Source organism: Homo sapiens, chromosome 17 (assembly GCF_000001405.40).
Source record: "Homo sapiens chromosome 17, GRCh38.p14 Primary Assembly".
Classification (NCBI taxonomy): Eukaryota; Metazoa; Chordata; class Mammalia; order Primates; family Hominidae; genus Homo; species Homo sapiens.
The window spans coordinates 55,314,283-55,328,482 of NC_000017.11; the positions used below are offsets into that span (position 1 = coordinate 55,314,283).

General features: G+C 43.2%; 1 protein-coding gene across 4 annotated transcripts in view, besides 2 other annotated features; it reads left to right on the plus strand.

Annotated features, from left to right (window-relative positions):
• HLF (HLF transcription factor, PAR bZIP family member) overlaps positions 1-10,905 on the plus strand; it is a 60,228-nt gene extending 49,323 nt beyond the window's left edge. For 2 of the 4 annotated variants that reach the window (NM_002126.5, NM_001330375.2), the window contains exons 3-4: positions 945-1,165; positions 6,382-10,905. In NM_002126.5, the coding sequence (NP_002117.1) occupies positions 945-1,165; positions 6,382-6,597 (437 nt within the window). In that variant the 3' untranslated portion in view covers positions 6,598-10,905. Of the gene's footprint in view, positions 1-944; positions 1,166-6,378 lie in introns of all 4 variants that reach the window. The other 2 variants (XM_005257269.3, XM_047435895.1) reach the window with 1 other exon arrangement.
• Positions 6,396-6,896: an enhancer, noted in NCBI's record as "H3K4me1 hESC enhancer chr17:53398039-53398539 (GRCh37/hg19 assembly coordinates)". NCBI's record gives its function as "activates a minimal SCP1, AML or CMV promoter by ChIP-STARR-seq in naive H9 embryonic stem cells {active_cell/tissue: H9 hESC(naive)}" and the evidence as "EXISTENCE:reporter gene assay evidence [ECO:0000049][PMID:30033119]".
• Positions 13,446-13,740: an enhancer, noted in NCBI's record as "tiled region #10605; HepG2 Activating DNase matched - State 5:Enh". NCBI's record gives its function as "activates a minimal TATA promoter and a strong SV40 promoter by Sharpr-MPRA in HepG2 cells {active_cell/tissue: HepG2}" and the evidence as "EXISTENCE:reporter gene assay evidence [ECO:0000049][PMID:27701403]".

Genomic DNA, 14,200 nt, shown 5'->3' on the forward strand with positions numbered 1-14,200 from the left:
AGTTAGATTGTCTCTATTATGTTCTTTCTAATTTGTTAAATATTTCTTGAACTAATCTCCTTCTCACTATCTCCATTGCTACCGTTAATGTGTACACTGTTTATCACAACAGCCTTGCATCTCATCAGTCTGCAGCCGTGGCTCATGCAATCCGTTCATCATGCTGCCTGATTCTTCTTTCCAAACATCAGCTCTTTGTCACTTCACTGCTCAGCATCTCTCACTGACATTTGGATTGTTCAAAATCATATCCCCACTGCCCACCTTCTTGGCCACATCTCTTGTGCTTGCACCTCTCCCCACTCTGTTTTCTTCTGATTCAATGTGACAGCTACCCAAGACTATACGTGGTTCTGCAAAAATGCAAACCTCTGTCTTGTCTTGGCACCTAGAATACCCTTTTTTTGCTAATTACTCTTTGTCTCAAGATGCGGCTGTACCAAGAGTCATCTCTAGGAAATGCTCCCTAACCTCCTTTGTGTTACGTACCATTTCCTCACACTGTGGAAGCACATGAGAATTACTTCCATCCCAACATCTGTACTCTCCCCTAACTGGCTAGTTATTGGTCTGTCTCCCTGACTCACCTGGAAACCACCCTCAAGGTGAAAATTACGTAGTTCTGTTCATTGCATCTTGCAGAGTGCCTGGCACATCGCTGTGTGATAGGAAAGAATGAATGTGTATTTTTAAATTGGGCTTCTCCTTCTCTAGTTTTTGAACATGTGTATGTGGGTTTCTGTTTTGCCTGATGTGACGTGAGTCAAGTCATACTCAACCTGCTGTGTTCTCAGAAATGCAGTGCGGATGAGTAAGATAAATCATGTTAGCATCATATATAAGTGAGCTGAAGACTCTTACCACTCATCTCAGAGCACCATTAAGTAGCTGCCTACTGGGTCTCTCTAGGGTGTTCATGAATTAAAACTCCTGTGTTGTTCCAGGTCAGCTGTTGCCAGCAAACCGCAATACACCAAGTCCCATTGATCCTGACACCATCCAGGTCCCAGTGGGTTATGAGCCAGACCCAGCAGATCTTGCCCTTTCCAGCATCCCTGGCCAGGAAATGTTTGACCCTCGCAAACGCAAGTTCTCTGAGGAAGAACTGAAGCCACAGCCCATGATCAAGAAAGCTCGCAAAGTCTTCATCCCTGATGACCTGAAGGTAAATTGGAACTGGTAATCAGTCTTTGGGCAAATGGAGAGTGGGATCCACAGACAGATTAAAAGGGTGACCCCAGGATGATCCCAGAAGCTAGTGCATGAAGGATTTCTGATTTCTGATCCTGTTTCTTGGCATGTGACTTCTAGGCCAGTTGTTTCCTCTCTGGGTATTTTTTGAAATGCACTTTTATGTCTTGATGCTGAACAGAAACAAGGAGAAGCAGTAAAATGTTGGAGTGATTTTAAACCCATGAAGGAAACAAACCTGCTCCTATCTGCATGGAAACCCACAAAAGTCTAATAAAATTAAACCCCACATCTTTCAAGGTTGAGAAGAGAAAGAAAATCATTTGAGAAGGGCATCTGAACCTCATTGCCCTCGAAGGGTTACCTTCCTTTTAGAAAATTTTTGATAATTTGCTGCTGCCATTTCCCTGTAGGCTGCGAGGAATAACAGCCAGAGATAGGACCTTCCTCCATATTGCCAACCTTGGATGACCAGGGTGGGATTTTGTGAAGGAAACTGGTAGTTCCCTGACACCATTTATATGTATCTTAAGTAACGATCACTTGAATATCTCACCGCTAGATTAATTCTAAGTAGGTTTTCTCTGCAGTGTTGAAGGGACACCTTATTTATAAAGGGAAATAGATTTACCTTGGAAGTCAAATACAGCTTAAAACAAAATTAACCAGACACAATAATGACATCTTAGGATGAAAATTCTTTCCAAAATTATGCCATGTCTGCTAATGCCAAAATAGAACCATTTCTTATTAACCATTGCTTAGAACTTTCATGCTTCTTTCCAATCATGTGGGTACTAGAGATATGATTATTATGTAGTCAAGGCCTTGGAACCAGGCATAATTAGCCCTTTTCTACTGTCTGCCCCCCATCTCTCAAACCTAACTATTGTTCCTATGTAGAGACACTCCTAGGCTGGGAAATAGGAATTTGAGACAACGTCTGAACTGGCTTAGACCAGTTGTTCCTGCTTTACATAGCTAGAAAAAATGCTGGAAGCAGAAGTACCTGGCAAATTTAAATCACTGCTGTCATCCACATTCCTGAGATTACCTTAATTGATGCAGAATAGGAAAACATCAGGGCTGAAGGGGACCTTAGAGATTCATTTGTCCAAAATTACCACTTGCAGTTGAGGAAATGCAGAAAATGGAAAGCTGAAGTCAGCGGATCACTACCTGTTAGAGAAAGGCTTAGCCTGGCTCCCAGGTTGTCTTGCTTCCCAAAAGGTCACAGCAGCATGTTGGCCCTGACAAGGGCTATAACGGGGGCCCATGGGTGACAAATCAATGGCTGTCACCCTGAGAATCAAAAAAGGAAATCACATGGTAAAAACACCAGAAAATCTAAACTAGTCAGGACATTGATGGTTAGACTGAGATGGGGTAAAAAAGGGGCACCATGGGCTCAGGTCTTGGGCAATTAGGTACCTTATTTCAATGAGATGCCTTTCCTAGTCTTGTCTTCTTAGTGATCCAATTTTTTATGGTGTTTTTTTTTTTTTTTTTTTTGAGATGGAGTCGCACTCTGTTGCCCAGGCTGGAGTGCAGTGGCACGATCTCAGCTCACTGCAAGCTCCGCCTCCCCGGTTCAAGCCATCCTCATGCCTTAGCCTCCTGAGTAACTGAGACTACAGGCGCACGCCACCACGCCCGGCTAATTTTTTGTATTTTTAGTAGAGACGGGATTTCACCGTGTTCGCCAGGATGGTCTCGATCTCCTGACCTTGTGATCTGCCCACCTCGGTCTTCCAAAGTGCTGGGATTACAGGTGTAAGCCACCGCGCCCGGCCTTTTTTGTGTATTTTAAAGCCTCGTATCTTAAACTAAAGCCAGGGATCCTGTTCAACCTGGATTTTCTCTTGAATGGAGGGTAGTTTGAAAGGATGCTGCTATGAGTGATAGACAGAACTTCCAGCCAGACTTTCACAAAGTCTCCAGATTTATCAAAGAGCAAGATTAGTTAATAACCCAGGTAACCTTGGCAACAAAGAGGCCAGACAAAAACCGTCTGTGCTGGAATTACACATATTGCTGCTGTCATGGTCAGGCCTGACCTTTCCACATAGCAGGTGGGGAATGGGCAGGAACATTGTCCTGCCAGGTGTCCTTGGATATTTTTTAGTTGTGGACGAAGTCTCAAACTAAAGACCATGAGCTAATATAAAGCAGGAAGCAGAGCTGTAACATGTTTCTCCTTCTGGCAGAAAGGTCTGAGCTAAGGGTAGATGGAGGAGAAGGTGTTTCTGGCCCCCAGCATTGGACAAGTAAACCAGTTCAATGAAATGGCCCCACTAAAAATGATCTTCCCTGTAGCTGCCTGAACTTCCTCTCTTGAGCCAATCATTAGGGTTAGCATGCATGCGCTGGAGAAAGAAGGGAGAATTGAGGTTGACATGCTGGGGTACCTAGCTGAAAATCCATTTAATTACCTTGATTTTTTAAATGCTTTTAATGGTCCATTCATTCACTTGATGAATTTTTTCAAATGCTAGTGTGTGCCAACCCTCTAACCCTGTATCAGGGGCTGGGAATACCGAGGTGAGCCAATACTGATACTGTTCCTGCCTTCATGGAACTTGTAGTCTGGTGAGAAACAGGGAGTGTTGATCTGTTGGGTGGGGCGGGGCTAAGTGGGTCCCTTGTTGCATGGAGGTAACTGGGTAGCCAGATGGCATCAGCAACTGGGAGAGGGAAAGGGGGCAGAGGATGGAGTGCCAAGTTTATCAGCCCCGCTCAAAATCCCGCTTCCCCCCTGCCCGCAACCCTTCTGCGATAACAAAGGGAGGCGAGCAGGCTTTTCTAGTCCAGGACACTCCTTTCGTCATTCCTGCCTTCTGTATCCTCTTCTGGACCCGGTTCCCAGCTCCCCTCCCTCCCACCTGAAAGGTTTGTTTTGCATTCCACACCTTGGCTGGCTCATCTGCATGTGTGGACAGGTGAGGCTGGGAAATGAGAGCACTTTAGAAGTGAGAAGAGCTCTAATAAGTTAGAGAGAAGTTGGTTGTTACCCTGAAGTCAGCTGGTGACTCCCTGGTCATTAAGACCTGGTCAGAATTGTCTTACACCACATCAAGCCTGTGGCCTATGGTGGGACCCCCCATTCCTCCCCCATCACATACATGCAGTTTCTACAGTGTTCCAGGGGCTTGTTCTTATGTACCCCTTCGCCTCCTGGGCTCCTGTTCCCCCGTGTGCAGACTCTGATACATCCTAAATCAAGTCCTCTTTTGAGTGCTCTTGGAAACCGCACTCCCAGGCACATTGTTGGGTATAGATTTACTGATACTGTGAAGGGATTGGAACCCAGGCTTCTATCAAAACACAAATAACTTCCATCAGAACTGGAGGCTTCACCACTGTTGTTAACTGGAGGCTTCACCACTTTGGGCCCCCTCACCACCATGACGTCATTGACTCGCCTGACTCCTCCCAGCCTCTCCCCTGCCTCCAGCTCCCCTGCTCGCTTTCAGAAGCACAGACAACAAATTCGGCCAACAACCATTGCACACCTGCCCTAGCTTGCTCACCCAGGTATTCTTCAAAGAGCAGCCTCCTCCCTCCTACCCAGAAGAATTCTGGTAACATCTATTTTGAAAATCGTTTTTTTACCCTGTTGCATATTGTTATGAAATGTATAAAAAGCTGGGGGTGCTTTATTTAAGATGATAGTACTAGTTTGTGGATGGCAGATAGGAGGTATCTACACAGTTTCTATCCCACACTTTCTGTATTTGTGCAGGGCAAATGCCTGTTGAGGGTAATGGGCAGTTTTGGGGGTGGACCGCTGACCTTAGACTTTCCTTGCAGCTTTGGCCCCAACCCATGTGACCTCCTTCAATGCCAACTGCCCCTTGGAATTCTGAGGGGTGCAAGCACTGGCCTGACCCATTTATTCTGGGTGGCATGTAACTGCAGGTAGTAGCATTGCTAGGACTGAGGGATTTGCTGTTGCAAATTGTTGAAAAAGGGGAGTTGCAAAATTCACCAGGTGCCACCATCAGTGAATTGGGAAGATCTAAAAGAAGATCCCTGTTTCTTAGTCTTCTTAAGAAGTTTTTCCTTTCTGTCAGGGAGGCAGCAGTGGGGGTGGAGGGCAGGGAAGGAGGGATTGTTTTTACACTGACCACAGTAAAATATTACTCAGGCTAATTAAGGCCTAGAGAATGGTTAAACAAGAAATTAGAGTAAATTATGTAAATTCTGGCCACCAATATGAGTACATTGATTAGCGGCAGGTTGAAGATTTTTTTTTTTAATTTCTATTTTTAATTACCAAAGTGTATGTATCTATTATATGATATTGTAATAGTTCAGAATAATATAAAAGGTAGAAAGTCTTACATCTTTGCCTCTGCCAATCCCCCTTCTAGAGGCTCCACCTTTATAGATTAGTATAAATCTTTTTGCGCCTCTTTCTATGAATATATGATTTTTAATCAAACTGGGATGAGACCATACATATTTGTGTGTAAACTGTCATTGTTTCCACCCACATAGTGGCATATCATATGAACATCTTTCTGGTGCAGGTGGGTCATTATTTTTAACAGCTGCCAAGTATCCCTTTGTATGACTGTATCATAACGTGGTTGTTAAATCTCCTATGCATAGTTTTTCCTCATTTTTTCTACTGCACATAATGCTGCAGTGAACAGTTTATGCTTGTGTGTACATGCACATGTATGGAGATTGCTACAGGACAAAATCCTGGAAGTGGAGTGCTAGATGAATAGTATATCCATTTAAATAGTTGATAGATATTGCCAAATTGCCTTCTAAAATTTTTGTACCAACTCATACCCAAAAAAGCATATGAGTGCCCTTGAAGGAAAAGGGTTCTTAAAATGTTGAGCAGGGAGAGTAAAGAAAGTTGAAATGTAATTTAAGGGTGAGGTGAGCCACCTGCTTTCATCCAGCCTCTGATCTCTGCTTCACTGAGCACGCCTCTGCTGGGCAAAGAGTAGGAGCCTGTTGGGACAGATCGGTGGGTCCTTGCTCCAAGAAGGAAGTGTGGCTCATGGGCCACACTCTCAGACATGCAGAAACTGTAAAGGAAGGAGACACAAGCTAAGAAACCCGGGCTGGCACCTCTGCACAATCCTGGAGCCTGCCCGTGCCCTGGCTGGCACTGGGCTTTGCTGAAATCTAATATCTTGTTTCTTTTTCCCTTCTGTAACTAATGAGCAGGATGACAAGTACTGGGCAAGGCGCAGAAAGAACAACATGGCAGCCAAGCGCTCCCGCGACGCCCGGAGGCTGAAAGAGAACCAGATCGCCATCCGGGCCTCGTTCCTGGAGAAGGAGAACTCGGCCCTCCGCCAGGAGGTGGCTGACTTGAGGAAGGAGCTGGGCAAATGCAAGAACATACTTGCCAAGTATGAGGCCAGGCACGGGCCCCTGTAGGATGGCATTTTTGCAGGCTGGCTTTGGAATAGATGGACAGTTTGTTTCCTGTCTGATAGCACCACACGCAAACCAACCTTTCTGACATCAGCACTTTACCAGAGGCATAAACACAACTGACTCCCATTTTGGTGTGCATCTGTGTGTGTGTGCGTGTATATGTGCTTGTGCTCATGTGTGTGGTCAGCGGTATGTGCGTGTGCGTGTTCCTTTGCTCTTGCCATTTTAAGGTAGCCCTCTCATCGTCTTTTAGTTCCAACAAAGAAAGGTGCCATGTCTTTACTAGACTGAGGAGCCCTCTCGCGGGTCTCCCATCCCCTCCCTCCTTCACTCCTGCCTCCTCAGCTTTGCTTCATGTTCGAGCTTACCTACTCTTCCAGGACTCTCTGCTTGGATTCACTAAAAAGGGCCCTGGTAAAATAGTGGATCTCAGTTTTTAAGAGTACAAGCTCTTGTTTCTGTTTAGTCCGTAAGTTACCATGCTAATGAGGTGCACACAATAACTTAGCACTACTCCGCAGCTCTAGTCCTTTATAAGTTGCTTTCCTCTTACTTTCAGTTTTGGTGATAATCGTCTTCAAATTAAAGTGCTGTTTAGATTTATTAGATCCCATATTTACTTACTGCTATCTACTAAGTTTCCTTTTAATTCTACCAACCCCAGATAAGTAAGAGTACTATTAATAGAACACAGAGTGTGTTTTTGCACTGTCTGTACCTAAAGCAATAATCCTATTGTACGCTAGAGCATGCTGCCTGAGTATTACTAGTGGACGTAGGATATTTTCCCTACCTAAGAATTTCACTGTCTTTTAAAAAACAAAAAGTAAAGTAATGCATTTGAGCATGGCCAGACTATTCCCTAGGACAAGGAAGCAGAGGGAAATGGGAGGTCTAAGGATGAGGGGTTAATTTATCAGTACATGAGCCAAAAACTGCGTCTTGGATTAGCCTTTGACATTGATGTGTTCGGTTTTGTTGTTCCCCTTCCCTCACACCCTGCCTCGCCCCCACTTTTCTAGTTAACTTTTTCCATATCCCTCTTGACATTCAAAACAGTTACTTAAGATTCAGTTTTCCCACTTTTTGGTAATATATATATTTTTGTGAATTATACTTTGTTGTTTTTAAAAAGAAAATCAGTTGATTAAGTTAATAAGTTGATGTTTTCTAAGGCCCTTTTTCCTAGTGGTGTCATTTTTGAATGCCTCATAAATTAATGATTCTGAAGCTTATGTTTCTTATTCTCTGTTTGCTTTTGAACGTATGTGCTCTTATAAAGTGGACTTCTGAAAAATGAATGTAAAAGACACTGGTGTATCTCAGAAGGGGATGGTGTTGTCACAAACTGTGGTTAATCCAATCAATTTAAATGTTTACTATAGACCAAAAGGAGAGATTATTAAATCGTTTAATGTTTATACAGAGTAATTATAGGAAGTTCTTTTTTGTACAGTATTTTTCAGATATAAATACTGACAATGTATTTTGGAAGACATATATTATATATAGAAAAGAGGAGAGGAAAACTATTCCATGTTTTAAAATTATATAGCAAAGATATATATTCACCAATGTTGTACAGAGAAGAAGTGCTTGGGGGTTTTTGAAGTCTTTAATATTTTAAGCCCTATCACTGACACATCAGCATGTTTTCTGCTTTAAATTAAAATTTTATGACAGTATCGAGGCTTGTGATGACGAATCCTGCTCTAAAATACACAAGGAGCTTTCTTGTTTCTTATTAGGCCTCAGAAAGAAGTCAGTTAACGTCACCCAAAAGCACAAAATGGATTTTAGTCAAATATTTATTGGATGATACAGTGTTTTTTAGGAAAAGCATCTGCCACAAAAATGTTCACTTCGAAATTCTGAGTTCCTGGAATGGCACGTTGCTGCCAGTGCCCCAGACAGTTCTTTTCTACCCTGCGGGCCCGCACGTTTTATGAGGTTGATATCGGTGCTATGTGTTTGGTTTATAATTTGATAGATGTTTGACTTTAAAGATGATTGTTCTTTTGTTTCATTAAGTTGTAAAATGTCAAGAAATTCTGCTGTTACGACAAAGAAACATTTTACGCTAGATTAAAATATCCTTTCATCAATGGGATTTTCTAGTTTCCTGCCTTCAGAGTATCTAATCCTTTAATGATCTGGTGGTCTCCTCGTCAATCCATCAGCAATGCTTCTCTCATAGTGTCATAGACTTGGGAAACCCAACCAGTAGGATATTTCTACAAGGTGTTCATTTTGTCACAAGCTGTAGATAACAGCAAGAGATGGGGGTGTATTGGAATTGCAATACATTGTTCAGGTGAATAATAAAATCAAAAACTTTTGCAATCTTAAGCAGAGATAAATAAAAGATAGCAATATGAGACACAGGTGGACGTAGAGTTGGCCTTTTTACAGGCAAAGAGGCGAATTGTAGAATTGTTAGATGGCAATAGTCATTAAAAACATAGAAAAATGATGTCTTTAAGTGGAGAATTGTGGAAGGATTGTAACATGGACCATCCAAATTTATGGCCGTATCAAATGGTAGCTGAAAAAACTATATTTGAGCACTGGTCTCTCTTGGAATTAGATGTTTATATCAAATGAGCATCTCAAATGTTTTCTGCAGAAAAAAATAAAAAGATTCTAATAAAATGTATTCTCTTGTGTGCCAGGAGAGGTTTCAGAAACCTACCTCGTCTTACAAATTTAAACACTTTGGAGTCTGTACAGGTGCCTTATATGTAGGTCATTGTCACGATACACACACACGAACACTCCCTCTGGACTGGCTGCCTCTCCATCCAGGGCAGTTAACTAGCAAACAAGGCAGATCTGCTTCATGGAGCGGGAGGCCATGGCTTGACTCTGAGTGATTTGGGTCAACCGGAGTCAGACGCATGTCTGCACGCTGCAGCTATTATGAGAGTCCCTTTGTCATTTTTCACCTTTTCATCCTAAGCATCTTTCAGAGATTAATTATTTGGCCATTAACAATGAATCCAAATCATATCATACTGACATCATCTAGACATGATTTGGAAGGAACAGCTTAGGACCTCCTGATGAGGTCACATTGTTGTTTCTTTTAACTAGACTTGGCAAAGAAAGGCAAAAATTGACCAGCCTATCTTTCTGCTGGTGCTGCCTTAAGGAGGTAGTTTGTTGAGGGGAGGGCTGTAGATCATTACTTCTTTCTCTTCAGGAAGTGGCCACTTTGAACCATTCAAATACCACATTAGGCAAGACTGTGATAGGCCTTTTGTCTTCAAATACAACAGGCCTCCACTGACCCATCCCTCAAAGCAGAAGGACCCTTTGAGGAGAGTACAGATGGGATTCCACAGTGGGGTGGGTGGAATGGAAACCTGTACTAGACCACCCAGAGGTTCCTTCTAACCCACTGGTTTGGTGGGGAACTCACAGTAATTCCAAATGTACAATCAGATGTCTAGGGTCTGTTTTCGGAAGAAGCAAGAATTATCAGTGGCACCCTCCCCACTGCCCCCAGTGTAAAACAATAGACATTCTGTGAAATGCAAAGCTATTCTTTGGTTTTTCTAGTAGTTTATCTCATTTTACCCTATTCTTCCTTTAAGGAAAACTCAATCTTTATCACAGTCAATTAGAGCGATCCCAAGGCATGGGACCAGGCCTGCTTGCCTATGTGTGATGGCAATTGGAGATCTGGATTTAGCACTGGGGTCTCAGCACCCTGCAGGTGTCTGAGACTAAGTGATCTGCCCTCCAGGTGGCGATCACCTTCTGCTCCTAGGTACCCCCACTGGCAAGGCCAAGGTCTCCTCCACGTTTTTTCTGCAATTAATAATGTCATTTAAAAAATGAGCAAAGCCTTATCCGAATCGGATATAGCAACTAAAGTCAATACATTTTGCAGGAGGCTAAGTGTAAGAGTGTGTGTGTGTGTGTGTGCGTGCATGTGTGTGTGTGTGTATGTGTGTGAATAAGTCGACATAAAGTCTTTAATTTTGAGCACCTTACCAAACATAACAATAATCCATTATCCTTTTGGCAACACCACAAAGATCGCATCTGTTAAACAGGTACAAGTTGACATGAGGTTAGTTTAATTGTACACCATGATATTGGTGGTATTTATGCTGTTAAGTCCAAACCTTTATCTGTCTGTTATTCTTAATGTTGAATAAACTTTGAATTTTTTCCTTTCTTTCATGTATTTTTATTAACAGTTGGCTAGCAATGGTATTCTGTTCCCACCTCGGTAGCAAAGAGACCATTTGTAGAGATTATTACCTAGATAATAAAATGATAATACTATATAATTAGTAATAAATTAACATTTATTGGGTAGTTATGTGCCAGACACTGTGCTAAACACTTAGATGGAATATTTTATTCCATATTAGCTCTATGAGGTAGGGACAATTATTATCCCCATTTACAGAAGACAAAATGGAAAGTTAGGAGAGTCACGTAGCTTACCTAATGTTACAGAGGTAAAAGTGGCTGAGATGAATTCTGATCCCTGGAGTGGGCATTATTTAGAGGGGTGGTTCCCAAAAGCCAGTCCACAGACTGTCTTGTTCTCTAATATATAAAGAATAATTCAGCAACATCTAGGAGTATAAATCCAGAGATTCTGAATCAGTAGTTCTTGGATGGGGCCCAGAAATCTGAATTTTTAAACTGATCCCAGCCAACTTCCATCTGCAGCCAAGTAATTGGTGTCAAGGATTTATAGACTTGGCTCTTAATTCAAGTTCATGACCCTTGGGGGATCCACGCAGAGGCTTCAGAGATGCCATAATTATCTGAAATTGTATGCAACTTTTTATGTATAAACATTTATTTTGCTGTAGAGAAGACTTGTAGCTTTTTTTTTTTTTTTTTTTTTTTTTACTTCCCTAAAGGAACCTGTGATGCAAGGCGGAATAAAACCCCTGATTCATGTAAGAAGGCTGATGTAGAGCAGTGGTTCTCAGCCCAGGGAGCCCAGTAGATTCACCTGGGGAGCTCAAAACCGGCTGTGTGGGGCTGCAGCCCAGGCCAAGAAACTCAGCATCTCCGGCATAGTGAGAAGGGGGCTCTGTGTTGAGGAGTACAATTCTGGATTCAAATCTGTCACCTAGTGGGTATGTGACCTTGAGCAGCTTCTAAACCGTTTTGAACATAATCTCATCTGTGACATGAAGGTATACTCACTTCTGAGGGTTGTGGGGGGAACTAATGACAACAAATGAATTGTCTCTGGCACATCCGAGGCCTTCAACAGATAACTACATGGGGCCCACGAGAGTAGAATGGATGCCTTGAGCATTTTTCCAATTCAATATTTCAGACTATTCGTTCCTTCAGAGAGGACGGAAAAGAATTCCCCTGCTCATATGCCAGAGCAGGATGGCTGATGGTATGGGAATGGGTGGTAGAGACGTTGTTTCATAGTGTGACTTCACCAACAGTTCATAGACTAGCGCCAGCTTTGTGCACAAGGTCGATGGGCATCTCTTACTTGGTGACAACCTCTAGTTAAAATTGAGTGGTTACAAGTTAGGGTTCAGCTCTATTTTCATCCATCAAACACCTTTCACCTTTTTGTTGTTGTTGTTGTTGAGGTGGAGTCTCACTCTGTTACCAGGCTGGAGCGCAGTGGTGCGATCTCAGCTCACTGCAACCTCAGCCTCCTGGGTTCAAGCGACTCCTGCCTCAGCCTCCCAAGTAGCTGGGACTACAGGCACGTGCCACCATGCCCAGCTAAGTTTTGTATTTTTAGTAGAGGCAGGGTTTCACCGTGTTGGCCAGGATGGTCTCGATCTCTTGACCTCGTGATCCACCCACCTCGACCTCCTAAAGTGCTGGGATTACAGGCGTGAGCCACTGCACCCAACCCACCTTTCACCTTTCTCAGAGGAATAAGAATAGTGACCTTAGCTTAAGAATAGTGACCTTAGCCTAAGATTCTTCTGGGGCATCTTCAAATCTCTTGGAGGAAATGACTTCATGCCTGGAGAGCATTTGGATCCGAGATGGCAAGAACTGATATGAAGCCAAGCTGCGTAGACTCCCAGTCATACACAAGTCCTCAGTCCCTGGGGGCCCATCACATGCTGCATGTAGGATGGCTCTTCCATGCACACTTAAGCATAAGATGCCACCCAATCAAGCCCCTCTCTTCAAAGCATACAACTTCAATTTCCTTGTTGAAAATCATTGGCTTAGAAGTCTCTTTGGACATCTTTAGCTAGGAACTGGGTGAGAACTTTGAAATCTTGTCTTTGTGGTCAGAAGATGGCTTCTTGCTAATAAATCAAAAGGACCCTTTGGAGGAGATAGGACTAGTCAAAGGTGGCAAGCATCCTCTGCCTCTCTGGGTTTTGAGTCAGGGAGGACTTGGATCCAAAGTCCCTGTCTCTAACTTCTTTTTATCCTGCAAAGCCTGGCACAATGCCTGGAAATGGTATAGAGAGATAACAGTTACTGAGTCCTAAACCTGTGCCTTCCACATCTCATTTAATCCTCACACTACAAAACAGGTACTATTATTATCCCTGTTTTGCAGATAAAGAAACAGGCTTATGGAAATTAGGTAATCAGCATTTTTAACCCAGACCAAAGCCTGACCCCAGAGTTTGACAGGGGTGGGAAACATCAGGAGTTTACCAAACCTATTTATTTACCTTCTGGACATTCAAGTAGACCACTTTTTCCAGACTCCCTTACCTCTAGTATGACCATTCAACTGAATTCTGTCCAAAGGAACATAAGCAGAAGTAACCCCAGGTGTCACTTCCATGAAAGGCCCATAAACAGTGCCACCTGATGCTCTCTCTCTCCTTTTTTTCTGGCTCCTGGAGAAGATGGAGACTAAGAAGGAAGGGACCCAGGTCCCTGAGTATATGGCAAACGCACCTGACAGCAATAACTTCAGCATACTCTGAGAATGACCCTGTATGGCAGACACAGCTGAATGTGTGTTCAGAGTTCCAAGCTCAGGAATCTGGGAGTGGCCAGCCTGGAGGTTCATTCTTTATCTGTGACGAACATCTGAACCCTCAGCCTGTCCCAAGGACCACGAGCCATACAGGGGATCATAGTCCTCTGTTTTGGGTTAAATGAAGGTTGTCAGGTGGAGGTTGTTAAGGGGAGGGTGCGAAGTGGAAATGCTATTTTATAAACTACATACTATTTGCAAGTGGTTGTAGTTCTGTCTGGCCCACTGCCACTGGACCATCCCTACATGTAAATTTCCTCTAATAATAATTTATATCTCATTTGCTAGCTCTGGGTTTCTTCTTCAGCCTCTCAAACATGGTTCCTTCCCTGTTGAGATTAATAGGGGTCTGGCATGACACTAAGTCATCAAACTGTTACACGAGGAAGGAAAAAGCCTCGCTGTATTAAACCATTGAGATACTGGGGTTTCTTGTTGCATGGCCTAACTGCTGATTAGCCTAACCCTAATATGAGGACCTTCTTCTGAAGCCCAGTGTCCTTAATTTGAGGTCTTGACATCTTTGCCAGGTTCCCAACTGTAATCTAGGCTCATCACCCCTCACATACCTGACTTTGAGGTTTGTCCACCTTCTGGACAGACCTCCCACCCTGGTTAGGCTAAGCCTACTGGGTT